Here is a 19,496-nt window from a genome sequence, read left to right on the forward strand (position 1 = left end):
GAGCTTTATTTCCAGGGAGGAGCCTACCTGGCTATATTCAGAGGAGGGGTGGAGGAGCCTTGGACTCCAGGCCATGCCTCGGCTTAGGCCCAGACTCCATACAGCCCAGCCAGGCAGGCACATGAGGCCTCGGCCTGATGGGGAAGGAACCTGGCCCTGCCTCACGGGTGTGGGGCACCAAAAGAGGCTGCGTTGTGGAGGCCTTTGACATGGAAGGCTGGCTCCCAAGGGCTACAGATGAGGAGCTCCTCTCCTGGGAGACAGGAGATAACTGTGCTTCGGGAAACAGTGGTAAGAGGGAGGGCTCCAACTGCTGGGAGCCCACCGCCCTTAGCTTTACTTTTTGTGAGGCTGGTTATGAGCACCACTTCCAGCTCTTAGCAGGTGCCCTGAGTGTACTACTGTGTGAGTCTCAGGGCGCTGCAGGTACAGGAAAGAGGTGGCTGCCAGTCCTCAGCAAGTGTGCTTGGGAGCTCTCCTGGAGGCCTGCGCTGACCTTGCAGTTGGCCAGATTGTCAGACAGACTCAGTAGAAGGCATTCCAGGAGGGAAAACCAAGAGAGGCAGTTTGCAGCGTGAGGGTCCCTCATGGGGTGGAGGGAGGCAGCAGTGGGGAGGGCAGACTAGGCCAGTCCTGAAGGGCTGCCTGCCACCACCATCAGCAGGCCGGCTCTGTTCTAGGCAGTGAAACCACCTCGGGGTGTGGAGGCCCGAGTGCTGTGGCTGCTGGAGGGAGCTCTGAGAGCAGCGGACTGCATAGCTTAGAGTGCAAGCCTAGGACAGGACAGGGGGCTAGAGAGACCAAGAGAGTGCTGAGGTGGGATTGAGAAGACCCCAAACCCTGGTGGCTGAGAGAGTACGTTTTGGCCACAGATAATCAGAGGCACTTCTGGCTCCGCTGGTGGAAGAGTGCTGGGTTTGGAGTTAGACCTAGGCTAAATTCTGCTATTCTCCAGTGGGAGCATCTTGTCAGTGTGGGAGCTGGTCCGAACCAGTGACCCTCTTCCTGGCAGATGGACCCTGTCCCATTCCCTCACATAAGGGGTGGGAGGCCTTGGTGCCGTAATGGAGGGTGCTATGCTTGGGTCAAGTCTTTCTGGTCACATCTCAAATTTGTCCCTCTAGTTTGGGGGTGACTCTGTAGGGCAAGCATGGGCAAGTTTGTTCCCTTTCTGAGGCAACACAGGGGATTGAAGGATTTCTCCCTAGAGCTGTCATGAGGCAGTAAGAGGTAGTGGGATGTGAGCCTACTTGGGAACCCGAACGCCCTTGGAGGTACCAGCTCTGCCTAGGACCTCACCTCTGGCTCGTGGTCAGGCTAACCCATGCTACCAGAGTGCCTGTTCCCGCTACCTGTTCAGCTTGGCCCCCTCCCTGCACAAAGGGGGTCTATCTGACAAAGATCCTGTGCAGGCCGTCCAGGGAGGACACCTGGCACAGACCATGGCAACTGCCACCATTCATGGCCTGAAACCACAGTTTGGTTCCAAGGAATTCTCCCTGCCCCCATTGCTTCCCCATGACCTTCCCTACCTTGCAGCCTAGCCAGAGGAGCCAGATCCCCACAAGCCCACAAAAGCCATTTTTTAGGGACCAGGGGTCAGAAGATGGATCGACTGCCCTACTTTTCTCCATGTGAATGTCAGATGTGGCTTTTCTAAGATCCGGGCTCCCCTCCTGAGATGAAACAGAAGCAGCTCAGCAGTCTTCCAAAGAGTGGGCTATTCTAGAAGCCTGGGCAGCAAGGTGGGGGTGGGGCTCAGAGGGGCCCAGTATAAGCATCCTATTGCCTCAGGGAGGCTCTTGATTCCATCAGATCACACTTCAGGCCTCAGCTCACACCAAGAGGCCTTGGAGCCTGCTGGCCAGTCTTCTCTGCCCAATCTGTTCCCCAGATTCCCTGCAACCCCTCTCTCTCCACAAAGGTCCTCACCCAGATATGGTACCCACTGCCACACGCACCCCCTTTGCATGCACTGCCTACCCACCTCTTGCCCTCCTCATTCTCCTGTCTGTCCTAGGCCCCTGCCATCCTCACCTTCCTCCAGTGGCCCATCCTTCCTCCACTCAGTCCTCCAGGCTGTGGCTGGGTCACTGCCCATCCACAAGAGCCCTGGTATTGGTGACTAAGATCCCAGTTCTGCCTCCTGGTGATGGAGAACTGTGGGGACAGCCATCTTGGGGCATCTTTTCCCCTTCAGTAGGGCACTGGTAGCAACAACAGCCCTGTGCACACCAGGTGCCGCATGTGCCGTCCCCGTGGATGTGCACGTGATCCAGGCACAGCTGTCCACTGAGATGGAGGCAGCCCCAGACTGAGGGACAGGGATCCTTGAGTCGATCCCTGCTGTGGCTGACCCAGGAAGGTCATTTCTGTCTTCCTCATCTCTGCGTCCTCACTCATGGCTCACACAGAGCATTTGGACTCAGTGACATCTAAAGTTCAGCACAGGCTGGACAATTTCTGAGTAGCAGAAGCTCTAGCCTGCAAGAATCAAGTGGAGCTGTGGGCATCTGGACAGGATGGTTTTTGGGGGTCTGTGGGTCTAGGGAGGAGAAACGCACTTCACTCTGTCTCGACCGTTGGGGAAAGGAGAGGAAACTGGCTGACTCGGAACTGTAAGGCTCAGCAGTCTCTGCTGTCACACTCTAGGTAGAAAAATTGCCAGACACAGGTCACACAGAGCCAGTGTCCCACAGCAGGGAGGCAGGTAAGCAGCAGCAAGGCCTTGTGCCTCCAAACCAACTGGAAGCTTCAAAGCTCCCAGGCTGAGAACGGGGACTGTTAACACTGAGGAACATTCTTGCCACGGCAAGAAAGGAGCCAGGGCCAGGCACGGTGGCTCACGCCTGTAATCCCAGCACTTTGGGAGGCTGAGGCAGGTGGATCATTTGAGATTAGGAGTTTGAGACCAGCCTGGCTAACATGGTGAGACCCCATCTCTACTAAAAATATAAAAATTAGCTGGGCGTGGTGGTGTGTGCCTGTAATCCCAGCAACTTGGGCGGCTGAGGCAGGAGAATTGCTTGAACCCACGAGACAGAGGTTGCAGTGAGCCAAGATTGCACCACTGCACTCCAGCTTGGGCGACAGAGCAGAGAAAAAAAAAGAAAGGAGCCAGGAGAAATCTACAGGTCTGCACCCACTCAGGCCTTGGAAGGGATGGCTATAGGGTGCCACTGGGGCTATGAGGTCCCCTGGGCAGCTCAGCCGACAGCACCTTTGGCAGCAGCCTAGCTCTGGGATCTGGGCCTTGGATTTGCAGGACCAGAAGCCCACCACCACTGGGGTGGGGGGTGTGAAGGTACTTACTTGGACCAGCCACGTGAGCCAAAGGCCAAGCATATATTTCCAAGGAGGGTGTGACCACTTAAGCAGGCTCCTGCTGGCCTGTGGGTGAGCATGGCTGGGGTGGCCTGGTCTCCTGGGCTCCTTAGGTTGGCAGAGAGCTGCAACTTCATAGGCCTTCAGGAGTGGCCCTGAGGTGGGTAAGCAGTTCTCTCTCTGGGGCAGTGGTCAGAGGCTTGTGTCCTGGACATCCAGGTGCTTTGTGGGTAATTAGGTCCCACAGGGTTTTCCTGCATAGGGTGCTGACAGTGCCAGTAAGCGCAGCTCTTTGAGCCCAGAGAATCCTCAAGGATCAGGGCAGGCAGTCTCACCAGCCTCTGATTGTCATAGCACTATCACATGACGCTCCAGGGACCTCTTGGTATGTACACAAGCACTTCCTGGGGGGTTGGGGGGTGACAGGGTAAGGCTCAGCTTAGTGAGGAACCTCCATGCTCAGGGCCTGAGTGTTTTTACCTGTCAGACATGGCAGTATCCATCTGATGGGGCTTTGGAGAGGGCTGGCACAGATACAGGCACAGAGTGCAGGACATCGTGTGGTGCTGGGAGGGGGACCAAGGAAGCTGGAACCCACAAGGCCTCGGAGCCCAGCTGGGAGCAACATTCTCCCAGGGAAGTCTCCCCAGAGGCTTTACTCAGCAGAGGCTTAGCACAGAAGCCCTGAGCTCCCCTCTTCCACCACAGGACTCCCTCCTGCTGTGATAGCCAGGCACTGGGACCCCAAGCTGCCCAGCCCATTCTGAGCCTCAGTGTGTTCATCTGTGCTGGTAGGTGGAGTGGTGCCTGCAGATCCCTTCTTTGGCAATGTGTCTGAGAGAGCACCTATCCACTCTACTCTTTCTGTGGGAAGGCATGCGCGCTGGGGAGAGCTAGGTGCTGCCCGTGATGGACCTGGAGGCCTCTGGGATGCAGGGGACTAGTTTCCAGAGAGCCACACACTCACCACAGACAACACACAGTTTCTTCCTGGCCTGGGTGTGATGAGCAGATGTTCTCAGCTTCCTTTGGTCCAACTTGATCTTACAGGAAGTAGATAAGGTATGAAGTAAGGTCATGAGCTGTGCAAGGTGTGAGTGTCGCTTTGGTCCTCGTGTCTGCTACAGCCCTGTGGACAGCCGGGAAGAGTGGCCCAACTAGCTCTGGAGCTAGTCGGGCCTTGGGGACAGGTCCCAGCCATAGTGGCCTTATTGCTGTGTGACTGCACCAGTGTCCAGTGTTTCTGAACCTGTCCCTATGTGTGTCTGTCAAATGACTATATGAATGTAGGTAGATGGCAAGGGGCTGTTGTGGCTTGAGCAACATGCAGATTTAGAACTCCTTGCTTAAGACCCTGACCATGGTGAGGAGCCCCTTGTCCTCACACAGCCTTGAGGTAGCTTGTGCTCATTGTGACTCCCCTGCAAGTGAATGATCTCTAGGTAACCCAGCCTCCTTCTTCTGTGTCCCCAGCAGCAAGTCCAGTGCCTGGCAGGGAGCAGTATCCCTCGAGGAGATCCTGAGGCACTGCCTCTTGAGTTCCTCCTGGAGGGAAGGAAGGAGGGCAGAGAGTGTGACATTACCCAGGCTGAAGGGGCAGGTTGGACCTGGGGCTGATTTGGACTAGGGGTACCTGGAAGGGGCACAGAGTAAGCCTTGGACCGCTGGCTCCAGGAACCAGCCCAGGGGTAGGCCAGGTGGAAACCAGCCAGCTCAGAGAGGAGATGTCACTAGGACAGGTGTCACCAGGATAGGGGCTAAATGGGTCTGAGGCCCCTGGGTGTCTGTGGAGGGAGGAACGGCGCTATGTGATAAGAGAGAAGCTCGCTATGTGATAAGAGAGAAGCTCATGGGGGCAAAGGGTTGGGGGTGGGTAAGCCAGGGCTTGGGGCAGCATCTCTCTCACCTAGCCCGTGCAGGTTGGCCCATCCCTGCCTTTCCTTGGCCTCCCCTCAGCTGGAGTGGGAGGAGCAGCCAGGAGTTGGTAGACTGTCCCAGTGCAGCCTACCTTCATGGGAAATCAGGAAGATGCTGTGTGCACACTGGAGCTGTGAGTACCAGGGGCATTGGCCAGACGCTGTGAGTGAGGCCCTCCCCTCCTGAGCCTGTTTCTCATCTGTAGCAGGGTACAGTACCCGCTTCCAGGCCGGAGAGCGACCCTCCCTGAGCTCTGCAAAGCTGCTCATGTCCTGGGGATGGGGTACTGTTGCTGTTCTTGGAATACTGAAACTGGGGGAAGGGGTGTCCTGAGAGCTGCCTACTACTCCCAACCCTACCCCTCAAACCCAGTGCTTTCTCTGTGGGCCTCACAGCCTAGCTGGAAGATGAGGCCCCTTCCAGCTGTAAAACCCACTTACCATGGCATCTCTTTTTTGCCCTCCGCCCTGAGGACATTACTCCAGCGGTCTTCACTGCAGCCCCCCTGCCCAACTGTAACAGCAAGGACAGCTCGGCTGTGGCCAGTCGTTTCCCCCACACACCTACACTTCTGCCTGCCACAGGGCACTACTGGCACAACTCCAGGGGGCGCCATTCACATAGGCACCGCCTGCAGAGGGGGGATATAACCCTCACACACAGTTGGCCAATGCCATCCCGGCCTGCCGCACTCCTGGCCACCCCTACACCATGCTCTCTGGGGCCCCACAGCTTCCTGCAGTGAGAGCTGCACCCACTTTGCCCGGCAGCGGTCCACAGCCCGCCACCAGCGGCCAGTCCAGGGAACCGGAGAGGATTGGCCGGCAAAAGTCAGTTGCGCTCCTGGGCCCGCTTCCAGTAGAGTGCCGGCGCCCCGTCCGGCCGCGCCTGCCCCGCCCCGGCCCGCCGCGAGCGAGAGAGCGAACGAGCCTCCGCGGCCATGGCCCGGCGCTCGCCCTAGCTCCACTGCACAGATGCCACGGCGGAGCCGGCGGGTAGGAACTTGGCGGGGGCGGGGGCCGGGACTGGGGCCGGGACTGGGGCCGGGGCTGGGGCTGCGCAACCGCTTCGCCTCCGCTGCCCGTCTGGGTCTCCACTTTGCTGGCGCTTTTGCTCAATCGTCCCCTGGTGGGCTCTGGCGGCCGCCCCCCGCCTCGGCGCACCAGGCGCAGCAGGAAGCCCGTGGGCTGTGGTTTCCCCGGCGCCCCCGCGGAGGAAATCGGCCGGCGGCGGGGTGCTGCGCCCCCATGCCCAGGGCGGGCTGGCACCCGGTTCAGCGTCAGGTGGGCGGCCAAGCCGGCTTGGGCGGCGGCGCGCGGGGGCGGCAGGCGCTGGTGAAGCCCGCACACGCGCCAGCGCATCCAGCCCTACCAAGCCCCGGGCTGGGAGCTGGCTCGTGGGGGCGTGCGCTGCGCGAAAGCGAAAGCCGCCCGCCAGAGCAACTTTGCGGCGGAAGGCGCCGACGAGGAGCTGTGCCGTGCCGCTCTTGGGGATGGTGAGCTGGCCGCCCGGCCGGGTGGGCAGCGCGTCCGGGCGCGGTGCTTCGCTAGCTATAAATAGGTGCTGTGCGGGGACAGGAAGATGGTTCCAGCCCTTTACAAGCACCGGCCCGTTATGTGCGCTGGGCTAGGACCTTGCCCCGCAGCGGAGTGGGAGGAGTGAGGTTAGGGGTAACGGTTGCATGGGATGGGGGGTGGGCACATAGAGCCTACAGCAGAGTTGGCGGCGGGGCTCTCCCATGCACTTGGTTGTTTGTCGTTTCTGCTTTTCCCGGGAGGGGGAAGGGAGGAACAGCCCGGCAGTTCTGGGGACCTTAGCGCTCCACGTCTTATTTGGCAGGAGAGGCTGGAAACGAGCGGGCGCCAGCTGCAGGCAAATTGCAGGCTTTCCCAGCCCTTGTCTGCAGAGAGAATCATTACCTGTGGATGGCGCGGGGAATCCCTTGCCCTCAGTAGCCCCGCCTGGAGAGACAGGACCGCGTTGTGGGGGGTGGGGTGTAGGAGTGGGCGGAGGCCAGGGCGCCCCTGGTGGCCTGTGTACAACCCTGCGGCCAGAGAGGCCCGCCCTGATAGGTTTGTGGTAGAAGCTGCAGGAACTTCCTGTCCCTAGGGGTGTTCAACCTGGCCTGCTTCTGGGGCCCCTTTCCTCCCAACCTTAGGGGAGGAACAGGACTGCGGGAGGGGCCAGACCCTCAGCTCCTCAGGGCATCAGGAAGATAGGGAGCTGCTGGTCTGGAAACTCAGTCCTGCCTCTAAAGGCTTCGGGACTCCTGAGTAGGGAGGCTCCAGAAGGGGCAATCTGGGCCAGGGCTCGGAGGGGTGCTGCCCAGCCGGCCTGGCTCTGTCTGTGATGCTCATCTTCCTTAGGGACAAGCCGGGTAGAGTGCAAAGAGCATGATAGGCTTAGTTCAGCTGTAGTCTTGGCTCCCTGCAGGCTGGCTGCCCTGGAACAAGTCTCTCCCCCAGCAAGGTGTAAGTGAAATCATGTGTTAAAGGAGCTGGGCAGGCAGCCTGTGAAGACGGTTGGCCCCAGGAGATGAAGTTTGCCCTACACGCCCCACGCCATCCCCTCCTTTTCCTCCAAGCTGTTTCGCCGCTTTGGTGACTTGTGTGGGTTTGTGGGTAACAGGGGTCTCCCCAGGACTGTAGAGGATTTTGGTATTTTCCCCACAGCTGCTCCTGACCTCAGGGCCAGATTCCATCCCCTTCCTGGCTCCGCTTGAGGTGCTTAAGAATAGGCTGGAACCAGGAGGAAGTTTTTATGCTTTTCTGGGGGGGCGGGGAGGCCCCTAATCTCCTCTCCCAGCAGCCCTCTCTGCTGAGAGGCTCCATCGCTCTCTAGCTGCAGCCACCCACTCAGCAGCTGGCCCTCAGCTCAATGCAGTCTGCTCCTACACCCTGTGCCCACTGCTCTTGGGAATGGGATGCCAACAGGCTCCCCGCCCTCGCCTGTTCCGAGCACTGAGTCACCACGACACCCGTGCCACGGGGGATGCTGGAGGAATCCCTCCACCAGGGGAACGGGCTCTCCCTTGGTTGCTCACAGTGTCGTGTTTTCTGTGAACAGAGCTGGCAGAGCTGAGCTCCTCCAGGAAGCCTTGCCCACCCATCTTACCACGGGCATACAGGGCTGGCTTGGGGCTAGGAGGGCCCAGGAAGACAGAACACTCACCCACTGTGTCAGCTCAGGCACCCAGGACCTGCTTCCTGGAGACCAGCCTGCTGCTGCGTGCCCACTCTCGTGGTCCCCTCTGGGTGATCTATCTTGAAGAGAGGGAGAAAAGCTTTGTGGAGAAGTATGTTCAGCCCAGCATTCTTCATCAGAATCCTTAAGTCCCAGAGCCAGATGCTCACCAGTAGCCCACTTCACTGTGCAGTGAAGGGCTCTGTGGTCATTTTGAATGATGTTTTTGGTGATGTGGGAAAATACATGTACTGTATTTGCTGAGTTAAAAGTCAGGATTAAAATTACCCACTTTCCGCTCAGGACGCTGCGGGTGATGGGGAAGACTCTGAGGGAGTCACTGCTATACCCCTGACTCGGCTGCCCATTTCCTCATCTGCTTGGCCGACGCTTCTTCTCTGGCACCAGCTGCATCCTGGTTTTTTTCTGGCTTTCTTCAAAAACCCCCCACATCCCTTGCTCTCCTAGCCCATTACTTCTTGTTCCAGCTTCTCTCCTGTCCCCTCACCCTGGATCACTGGGAAGTTGGGCTTCCCCAGCATCCTTGAAAGGGATTTATCTGTGGCATAAACTCTCCAATGCCTACTCAGGGGTAGCCTGGATGTGGCGCTAGGAACATGAGGGAGGACAAGACACTTTTCCAGCCCTCTTGGGAATCAGAGTCACCTTAGGGCTACACCAAGGGCAAAGGGATGTGGAGGCCAGGATTTGTGGGTTTTACCTGGAATACTACTTTTCTGGGCAGTCTGCAGGCAGGACCCAGGGGCCCCTGTCTGTCCTGACTCTCTCTGCCTGTGGGCTTCTCTTCCCCCCAGGGGCTTCAGGAGTTCTCTGAGATTTCATCTTGGCTCACAGATCTTGAGTCTCCCAGGAGGCCAGGCTCTGCTCAAAGGCCTTGAGGTATAGGTGTGAGCCAGAGAGATGCAGCCCTCCTGCCTGCACCACCCATCTGCTCCACCCTGGGGAGCCCAGAGTCCAGGGGACTGTGGCAGGGCAGCTATTCCCGTTCAAGACTCAGGCCCTTGAAACTGGCTGCTGACGTCAGAAGCTGGGGGCAACCCTGCAGGCAGTGCCTGACCAGGCCGGGCCAAGCCCAAGAAGGCCCCTAGCAGACTCAGGCTAGTTTGGATTGGACAACCTGGGTGAGCTGGAGAGGAAAGAGACTGCTGTGTGAAGTAGATGACCACCTGCCCAGCTGCCTGCTTGCTCCCTTGTCAGGCCAGGTGCCCTGGGTCTCCCAGGTGGCTCCTGGCACCTCATGGCCTGTTCCTTCCTCAGCACCCCTGTGCAGCGCCCAGGCAGCTCCTTCACAGCCATTCTGTCTACTCCCAAGTATGGTTCCTCCCTCTTCTGCCCTCTTGCTTGAGCCTCACGTGGCATCCCAGCTGGGCATGGCCCTGGGAATGACAGAATGGGGCAGGGGGTTGCATCTGAATCCTGTGGGTGTGGCAGCAGGGGACAGCTGGAAAAGGCCAGCAGAGAGCTTGCTTAGAGGCCATTTCCTGCAACATTGCCCAAGGGACTTAATTATGACACCCTGAGGCACCCATGGTGCTGGTGGAAGACACTGGCCACCTGCCAGCCACCCCGTCCACAGGCAGGCATTCCAGTGGCAGCCTGCCCCTGCAATGGGCCTTTGCAAGTCTTAAGAGGCACCTTTTCAAAACCGAGGTGAACTGGCATCACTGCATTCTCCATGCTTCCATTTCTACATCTGTAAAACAGGGAGGCTGCCAATTTCTTGTTCCTCTGAGTGTTAAGCAGGGGTGTAGGAAGAGACTTGAGGTGGGCGAGTCTGGCCCCTGGGTCCTGTCCCACTTTGCATCACTAGGCAGCCTTGGCAGGTCACCTGAACTCAGTTTCCCTCTCTGGAAAATGAGGGGTGAGTTGATTACATACTCAGGTTGTCCCTCCCAGTGTAGACATAGGATGAATCTCTATGTCCCTACTCAGCCCACACCTGACCCTCGTCCACTCTGTGACAAGCTCGTGCCTTGGGTCTGAGTACTGTTCTGACTGGCCTGCTCCTCTTGCTTACCCTTCTTTCTTGCCTTGGAATTTCCAGGGGCACTTGATTTCCTGAAGAGCCTTTGCCTGTGCCCTAGAAGTGGAGGAAGCTCTAGAAGGAGTCATGACTGAAAGGTGGGGTCCGCCAAGGTGACAGATAGAGCTGGGAACCCTCAGCTCAGGGAGCCTCAGAACAGCCTTGGGCTGTGCCACTAAAAATGGCCCAAGCAGTGACCCAGCAGCCAGCAGTGGGGTTTACAATGAGAATCAGAACAGTGTTTGAATTTGTGGCATCAGGCTGTCGAGCCCCGGGTTGGCCCTGGCTGAGTGAAAGGCTGTGTCTGGCAGAAAAGAGAGCCCCTGCCCCTCCAGGAGTAAGCTCCCCTGAGACCACAGTGTGCTGGAGACAGCATGAGCCATGAGCCATGGGCCTGGGCATGGCCTTGGCCTGTTGGCCGGGAATAGCAGTGTTCTATAACTTCAGGGACACTTGTCACCTCGAAGTGGTGCCACCTGCCAAGACTGCACAGCCCTCCTGCCCCCAGGCACTTCACCCTGCTTCCCAGCCCCCTCATAAATGGACAGGGCAAGAGCACAGGCTGGCCCGGCAGCATCCTACCACCTCCACTTAACCAGCTCTCAGTTCCCCCAGGAAAGTCTTCGTGGGTTCCCAAATCATAGCAGTCATGCCCTCCCTCTGTGGACCCCTAGGCTCACTCTACCATGGGACTCAGTGTTTGAGGCTCTGTTTCCTCAAGAGCAGAGGGAAGACCACCAAAGTCTTAAGGCTGTAGGCAGGGTTTGGTAACTTGTATCAGGCACTCAGCTTAGAGTCTGGGGCTTCATAAATTATTCAGATTGTTAAAATCTCTCTCTGTGACCTCATCTGCCAGTGAGGAGCCTAGAGCCGTTCTGAAGGGTTGGGGGATTGACTGAGATGCCTGGAAAGAGATGCTTGGCATGGAGGGGAAGCCTCAAGCACAATCTCAGTGTCTTTAAGTCCTCTGAGGCTATTGGTGTGCACCCCCAGCTGCCCTCAACTCTATAAGCAAGCATTATCCCAGCCACTGTGGCCATCAGGGAACCCAGCCCTGGTGACACCAGGGCCCAGGAATCAAGTGGGGCAAATCTGAAGACAGCAAGTGTGCCTGTGGAACTGGGAGAGGCGAGGCAAGGGGTACGGCCAGAGCAGCGGGACCCAGGGCTGAGGGAGAACTAGGAGAGGGCCAGAGGAGACCCTCCTCGCGGCGACCCTGCTTCTCTCAGCTGCTACTTATGGCCCCTGCCCATCTATGATCCTGCCTCTGCCTTTCCCTCAGATGCCGTGGGGGTGTTGGCCTGGTGCTGGCTCCCTCCACCTGCCCTCAGCCAGGCCTCTTGGTCACTGCTGCCTATGCCCTTCTTTTCTGGCCCTGACTTAGCTTTATCCAAGCTCACCCCTGGCACATTCTCCACACCCTCCCTGAGGCCCGAACGTGAGTCCCTGGGCTGAATGCAGTGGGGCTTCTGCTGTGGCAGTTGGAACCTGGCCATGCCCCTTCCTCCTGTGTGGGCCGTGGTGAGGAAAACCAGGTGAAGCAGGGGCTGTCCCTTGTACCTGTCCCACTCCAGGAGACCCTCCTCAGCACCTTGGTTCTCTAGGAGCTTCATAGCCCTCCACAGGCCCGGTGTTAGAGGGACAGTGGAGGGAGAGGGCTGCTGTGGCTACTGCCCCTCTGTGGGGAACCGCTGTGTCCAGGTCATCCTGGGGCTGCCAGTATCATCCTTCTCATGGGTCTCTTGCTGCAAACACAGAAGCCCAGCTCCACCTGGTGTAGGCAGAAAGCCAGTTGGCTTGCTACCACCCTGCTGGCTCGTGACTCTGCCTGGTGGCTTCACTCTTCAGACCAGCTTTCTCTGGAGGCCAGCCTCATGGCCATAGGAAGTCCCCTCACCGTTCGGGAGGTATGTCCATCTGCACACCGCCCCAGGCCACAGAGAAGAGGGGTTATTCCTAAAGGCTCTCATTAGGAGGGGAAGCCTGACTGGGATCCTGGGGCCCATCTGCTGGCTGAATTCCCATGGCTGGTGGTGGGTCTTAGGCCTGGCCGAGCAGGCAAGGGGGCCAATCCTGGGGGCAGGGAAAGGACAAGCCCACAACAGAAGGGGCTTCTGGGAATAGTGCCCAGTGCAAGGTAAATAAACATAGGAGCCCCCATACTGGGGCATGTGAATGAAGATACAGTAAAGAGATGAACAAGGGCACACTAGCTGGCCTGACCCTGCCCGGGAAACGTGCCCTTCAGCACACTGTTACCAGAAAAAGGCCAAGCAAGATGCCAGAATGAAACCAGAGCACATGCAAATGTAAAATGCTGCCTTTCAAGCCTCTCAGGGCTGGCTGGGGAAGTTTTGAGAGTCACAATAGCATGGGGGTGGCCAAGCGGGCGGCGGTGTCTATGGTTCCCTTCTGATTTTCCATGGACTCACTGCCTGATTTGTTTGGTCTTCCATCCTTTCTGAAATCAGCAGTGTTATGTTACAAAAGGAAACGGAAAGGAGATAGGGATCCAAACTGTGCTGGTGTGTGTGATGCAAACTAGACCCGTCCTCACGGGTGTGTCTGTTGGTGTCTATGTGCCCTGGGAGGTGCAGGGATGGGAGGGTCTTCAGCGGGACGTACTGCTGCAGCACAGCGGATGGAGACCCAGGAGACAGTGTCTGCCCATTCTGGTGCCTACTGTAGATAGACCCTGTCTGTTGGAAAGCAGGTGTCTTTTCATAAGCTGCTTCAGGATCCACATCTGCATGGTAGGAAGATGCAGCATTGATGTTTGCTGCCCTGGATGTGGATAGCCTCAGTACCCTGGTTTTGTCCTTTTCAGGCACTGCCAGGAAGTAGAAGGTGGCTGCTGGCCTCCACATAGTCCCCCAGCCTGCAGGTGGACCCTCCATGTCACAACAGGAGCCAGTGTAGAGGCCACAGGGTCTCAAGGCTGCGAGTTTTAAACTCCTCTCAGGCCTTAACAGCTCAGGGCTGGAGGTGCCCTGGCTTTCCTCCCAGGGCTGCTAGAGCAGGGTGGGCCCACACCTGTGTACAGATACTGTGGATAATCAGCAAGGACCCACAGGGACAGGGCCCTGAGAGGGGTACCACCTAGACATCCTGCAGTGGTCCCTGTAGCTGGGGGCCCAAGTCCCCAGAATCCTATACTGCAGCATGATGTGGGCCAGGCCCCATGCCAAGGAGAAAGCAATGTCACTCATAACCTTGGTCCATTCTGGGCAGCAGTTTCTTCAGCGTGTTGGCTGCAGGGACCCATCTAGGAGCCAGTTCACTTATTCCAGGCCCCTGAGGTCCCACCCCAGAGATGGGCCTCCTTAATGCCTGTTTCCTCATCACTCACTCCCTGCTTTCCCCACACCCTGCCTGGACCCCGAGTAGGTGTCAGATGCCATGCTGGTCACTAGGACACTGCAGGGAACCAGGCCCTGGAGCTAGTGATAGGTAGGGGGTGCCCAGTGCTGCAGCAGGTAAAGCAAGGACCAAGGGAGATAATGGGGGGTGCTCCCCAAAGTCAACTTTGCCCTGGTTAAGCCTTCAAAGAGGAGTGGGGTAGGATGGCAAGAAGTGGGAAGAGGGAGGGGGACCCCAGGCATCCCAGGAGCTGCAGATGATTCTCTGGGCACTGCTGGAGAGAGTGGGTGAGGGCAGAGCCTAGCCAGAGCTTCCCTGCAGCCTGCTTTGACTCAGCAGTTCCACCTCTAACAAATGGTCTGGTGGCTGGGTAAGCACCTGTGCAGGGAGGTGTACACACTGGGCCTCTCACTGTCTGTCCTCACGTTTGATCAGGCCCCACCTGAGTGCATCCCATAGGGGACAGGTCCAGCAAACATATGAGATGCAGCCATACAAAAGAGGAGGCTGCAGAGCAGTGGGTCTGTCTGTCATTTGCTGCCACTCATGAGAAGGAAGGGGGTGGGGATACACTTCTGTCTCCTTGGGACAGTGAGAGGGGTCCAAGAAGCCCCTGGCTGGGCAGTGTCCCCTTTGGCACTGTGGCAGTTTCCAGGGGATACCAGACAGGGTGTCCCCGAGGCTCCTGCCACAACCACCCCCCTCACACACCTGTGCCATCCATCCCACAGGGCATCTGGCGGATCCCCGTGGACGAGATTGACCGGCCGGGCAGCTTTGCCTGGCACATGAACCGCTCCATCGTGCTGCTGCTCAAGGTGCTGGCCCAGCTGCGGGACCACAGCACCCTGCTGAAGGTGTCCTCCATGCTTCAGCGGACCCCAGACCAGGGCAAGTGAGTGCAGCCACCCTGGACACAGCCTGGCATGCTGTGTGGGTCAGGGGCACACACACCCCAGGAAGCCTCTCCACTGCTCTGGCCCAGCTGTGAGGACCACTGGCTGGGAGCCTGGACCAGCTCTTCATTCTCCTTGGGGGCCTCTCTGTCCCAGTGTCTAGAACCTAAACAACACTTCCCACCCCCAGGCACCCTAGGGCAGACACAGCCTGTCCCCACTGATCCTGGTTCCACGTTGAGACTCTGGACTACCCAGCCTTTCCTTTCCTCCTGCTTCCCCCAACTCAGGGCTCTCGGGGTGCTGTCAGGTTGTAGGGAAAACAGATGTTCAGAAGATAGCTGTGGTTCCCCAGACAAAGGCCAGTAACAGTGGGGTGAGCGACAGGGGTGCCTGGGCCTCAGTGGTAAACAGGGAGCTCTCCGCCAGAAAGGGCAGGACAGATAACAGAGCCATCTGTTACAGCTGCCATTTACAGGGGGTGTTGGGGGGATCCTGGAAGAGACGCAGCTCAGATGTAGATGGGCCTGGCCTGGAGGCCTCACTCCGTCAGCTGGACTGGGCCTCCTCCCATGCCTGCACTGTCTCACCCTCTGGCTGTCTCACTCACCTACCACTTGCCAGGCGATGTGCCAGGAGTTCAGGGGCCTCCAGCTGGGGCCTGGGGCACCCTGGAGCCAGACCTGAGGGAGCAGCTATAGGCTGCTGAGCACAGCACACAGGGTGGGCCCACTGCAGAGGGCCTAAGGGCAACAGGCTGGTGCCGGGTCAGAGGCCTACTGGCTCTGGATAGAGGGAGCTCAGGGGAAGCTTCTAGGGGAGCAGCCCCAAACAGGTGGTTAGGTGGAACACTGAGGAACAAACAGGCATCCTCAAGGCAGGGATGGGCAGTGGCCACCATCCAGCAGTGCCATGTGGTGTCAGATGCCCTCCTGTCCTCTCTGACTACCCCTGTATGACCGCAGGAAGTATCTGCGAGATGCTGACCGCCAGGTCCTGGCGCAGCGGGCCTTCATCCTCACTGTGAAGGTGCTCGAAGACACGCTGAGCGAGCTCGCAGAGGTATGCCACCTGTGTCCTCCTCTCCTCCACGGCCCATGAACACGCTTCCAAGCCCTTCCCAGGTGGTGGGCCCGATCCCTCTATTTGCATACCCTTAGGCAGGATGTGCCTAAGGGTCCCCATCTGTGAGGTAGCACCCATCCTGTCTTCCTAGGCAGGGAAGGTCAGCCGTGGTAATGAATGCACATGAATTCAGTGAGTCATGGATGCACTTGGTGATTAGTAAGAGCCATAGTGACTCCATGAAACTGAGCTCCCCAAGGGCTGCACCACCCAGGGCGGGGTCCCAAGCCCTCTCCCTGGCAGGCTGACCAAGGCCTATGAGAACACCATGTGTGTGCATCGTCCCTTTTCAGCCTTGAGGCAGGTGCAGCAGTACCTCCTTCTCACAGCTGAGCACCTGGAGGAGGCCAGGGAGGTTAAGCAGCCAGCCTACGAGGTGGGGCTGTTGGGAGTTGAGCCAGGACTGCCTCCAAAGCTTATGCCTGGTAGGGCTGGCTGTGGCTTGGTAGAGGGCATCAACTTGAGGCTGTTGGGGAGGAGTCCTTGCCAGCCCCCAACCCCAGGCCTCGTGCATTAAGGGCCAGGAAGACTTGGCTCTGCAGCAAACATGCTTGGTGGCCCTGGGCAGGTCCCCTCCCATAAAATGCCCAGAGCTGCCCGGAGTTCACGTCATGGAGTCAAAGGGGAGCTGGGCAATGCTGCCCCAGCTCAGCCCAGGCCTGTTATTCAGGAGCAGTGCCACCTCCAGAGTCCCGTCAGCCCCTTGCTACCTGGAAGAGTGTGGTGGGGTAGCCAGAGGTGCAGAGGAGGGAAGGCCTTTCTCAGGCAGGTCTCTGGGCCCAGTGTCCTTCTCTGATAACTGAAACACAGCCCTGGCCAGCTGGCAGATGTCCGGAGCCACACAGATGTCAGGTGGGAGAGGCCCAGGTTGGGCTCACCAGCCCCCAGAGGTGACTCATTGCAGTGGAGACACCAGCGACACAGCTTCTTACCTTTGGTTTCTTTGTAGGGGTCAGAACGCCCAGGGCCCAAGGTCTGTGGCCTCCCCGGAGCCAGGATGACCACCGATGTCTCACACAAGGCCAGTCCTGAGGATGGCCAGGAGGGCCTCCCCCAGCCGAAGAAGCCCCCTCTGGCTGATGGCTCAGGGCCAGGGCCCGAGCCAGGAGGCAAAGTGGGCCTCCTCAACCACCGGCCTGTGGCCATGGATGCAGGAGACAGTGCAGACCAAAGCGGGGAGCGGAAGGATAAAGAGAGCCCACGGGCAGGGCCCACTGAGCCCATGGACACGAGTGAGGCCACTGTTTGCCACTCAGACTTGGAGCGGACACCACCCCTGCTGCCAGGTCGCCCCGCAAGGGACCGGGGCCCCGAGAGCCGGCCCACTGAGCTGTCCCTGGAGGAGCTGAGCATCAGTGCCCGGCAGCAGCCCACCCCGCTCACCCCAGCCCAGCCAGCCCCCGCCCCCGCCCCCGCCACCACCACAGGGACCAGGGCAGGGGGCCACCCGGAGGAGCCGCTCTCCCGGCTCAGCCGCAAGAGGAAGCTCCTGGAGGACACAGAGTCAGGCAAGACACTTCTGTTGGATGCCTACCGTGTGTGGCAGCAGGGCCAGAAGGGTGTGGCCTATGACCTGGGCCGTGTGGAGAGGATCATGTCGGAGACCTACATGCTCATCAAGCAGGTGGGTGGCAGGCAGAGGCCTGGGGGCACTAGTCTGCTGGCAGCATCCCCACTCTTGCCTTTCTATCCTCAAGGAGGGTCTCCCAGGCCTGCCCTTGGGGCGGGTTTTAGGTGTTGTTCCCACACCATCCCTGCTGTTCACTTTCTGCAATGAGCTTTAAAAAGTCAATATTCAACCTGGAAGGAAGTGAGAGCCCGTCACAGAAACCTTATCACAACCAGCGCGGGGAGTCTGGACCGCTGCTCCCACCGCTGCGCTGGGCCTCTGGGTACATCTTAGGGCATTTCCTTCAAGACTTCTGTGGCTGTCATCTAAAGATGGCTGCAGTGACCAGAGATCCCCTTGTCATTTTGCCTTCTTTTTTTAAACATTTTATTTTAATGTATCAAGCACTTTCCTTTTTCTCCATTTAAAATTATTCCCATAGGAAGAATCTCCAAAACTTTAGTGACTGGTTCAGATGGGATGACCATCCCTGACATACAGTATTCCCTCTAATCATGTCAGTTTGCAATGCATCCTACCCCCAACTGCCCCATATCATATGGACCTTGGGCACTGAATCCCTAGACACACTTGACACAGCATGGGGCTATCACCATCAGGCCTGGGATTCCGAAAGGCCTCTCCCACTCTAATCATGGCCCTCCATCCTGCCCACTTAAAGGGCAGGTTCTAGCTCAGAAGACTCCCCTCTTCCCCTAGCAACTGAGCCTCAGCTGAATTTGAAGGCTTGGTTGGAGCCCTTGAGTCTGCCTGCCAGCCTCAGCTTGTGAGGATGTAAGTAACTCAGCCATAGAAATGAACTTGGTATAGCCAGATGGGCTCAGAGGAACAGCTGGGTCCAATTCTGGCACCAGTACCTGGTGGTGTGGCACCTGAGCAGGCACCCCCACCTGGGAGATGGATGGGCATCTGCCCCTGCTACCCACGAAGAGCTGGGACGTAGGGGTCTAGATGCGGACAGCAGTGGGGACGGCTGGCTATTCAGCAGAGTCTGGGGTGTTGGGGGGCACCCGAGCCACAGGGCATGCCCCCTACCTAGGCTGGTCTGTGCTACATACACAGACAGGGCTGGGGGAGGCTAACCACAATGGCCTGCGCCCCCTGACTTCCAGCATCTCCCTGTTAAGGTGGATGAGGAGGCTGCGCTGGAGCAGGCTGTGAAGTTCTGCCAGGTCCATCTTGGGGCTGCCGCCCAGAGACAGGTAAGCCCAATTTAGCCTGTGCCAGCCTCATCTTGCGGAGCCTGCTCCATATCAAGGCCCTAGGATGCAGGCTGAGAAGCAGATCCACTCTTGGGACTGTTCTTGTGGTCAGCTTGGGCTGAGGGGAGATGAGCAGGGGGCAGCTGAGCCTCCAGCACGTGGCCATAGTGGGCAGGAACTTGACGGCCCAGACCCCAGTTCAGACATGCTGAGGGGTCCCCTCACCTCAGCCACCTTTTCTGTAACAAGGAGGATGGCCCCTAGCCAGCTGACCTCAACTGGGAAGGTCATTCCGTTTGGAACAGAAGTAGAAGCAGCAATGTTAGAGCCAGTCTGGTTAGGAGCCAGGTGGCAGGGGAAGGTGGAGATGCAGCCTATACAGGGACTGCCCCCCGCCCCACCGCCCCAGGGGAGGACTTGTAGGGAGCAAGGTGTCCTAAGACAGGGTAGGCAGGAGTCCTGGAGTTTATTAAGCAGGGAGGAAGCAAGGCAGCAACACTCCTGAGTAGGGAAGATGGGGTTAGTGCAAGGTCCAGGCCAGGGCTGGGGAGGGGGGGGCGGGGTCCAAGATATGGCAGGGAGTAGGGAGTTGGGGAGGCCCCTCCTGGGAGGACCCCAAGCTAGAGGTGGGAGGGCTGGGATCAGAATTCAACAAGAGGATGTGGCAGGGAGGGGCAGACATGGCAGGCAGAGAGAGCAGGTGTGCCCTGTCTAAAACATAAGCCTCCAAGCCAGAGGGTAGGTGGCATGCCATTTGAGTAGGTGCAGTCTTTTGTCCCCAGGGGTGTCCCGATGCCCCCGGTAGCCTCGTCCCA

At 58.4% G+C, this 19,496-nt stretch overlaps 1 protein-coding gene across 48 annotated transcripts in view, besides 3 other annotated features; it reads left to right on the plus strand.

The window, feature by feature from the left end:
- The window catches only part of CABIN1 (calcineurin binding protein 1), a 167,325-nt gene that overhangs the window by 138,537 nt on the left and 9,292 nt on the right, over window positions 1-19,496 (plus strand). For 26 of the 48 annotated variants that reach the window (XM_047441219.1, XM_047441226.1, XM_047441232.1 and 23 more), the window contains 4 exons: window positions 14,560-14,723; window positions 15,690-15,786; window positions 16,799-17,473; window positions 18,607-18,681. In XM_047441219.1, the coding sequence (XP_047297175.1) occupies window positions 14,560-14,723; window positions 15,690-15,786; window positions 16,799-17,473; window positions 18,607-18,681 (1,011 nt within the window). Of the gene's footprint in view, window positions 1-14,559; window positions 14,724-15,689; window positions 15,787-16,798; window positions 17,474-18,591; window positions 18,682-19,496 lie in introns of all 48 variants that reach the window. The other 22 variants (XM_047441218.1, XM_024452184.2, XM_047441217.1 and 19 more) reach the window with 1 other exon arrangement.
- Window positions 6,008-6,597: a silencer, noted in NCBI's record as "silent region_13543". NCBI's record gives its function as "represses an Ori minimal core promoter by ATAC-STARR-seq in GM12878 lymphoblastoid cells {active_cell/tissue: GM12878}" and the evidence as "EXISTENCE:reporter gene assay evidence [ECO:0000049][PMID:35858748]".
- Window positions 6,778-6,847: an enhancer, noted in NCBI's record as "active region_18761". NCBI's record gives its function as "activates an Ori minimal core promoter by ATAC-STARR-seq in GM12878 lymphoblastoid cells {active_cell/tissue: GM12878}" and the evidence as "EXISTENCE:reporter gene assay evidence [ECO:0000049][PMID:35858748]".
- Window positions 7,776-8,209: an enhancer, noted in NCBI's record as "ENSG00000099991_22:22883584-22884017 (NCBI36/hg18 genome assembly) insert fragment". NCBI's record gives its function as "drives selective reporter gene expression in differentiated C2C12 myotubes {active_cell/tissue: C2C12}" and the evidence as "EXISTENCE:reporter gene assay evidence [ECO:0000049][PMID:22144875]".

This window comes from Homo sapiens, chromosome 22, assembly GCF_000001405.40.
Source record: "Homo sapiens chromosome 22, GRCh38.p14 Primary Assembly".
Lineage (NCBI taxonomy): Eukaryota > Metazoa > Chordata > Mammalia > Primates > Hominidae > Homo > Homo sapiens.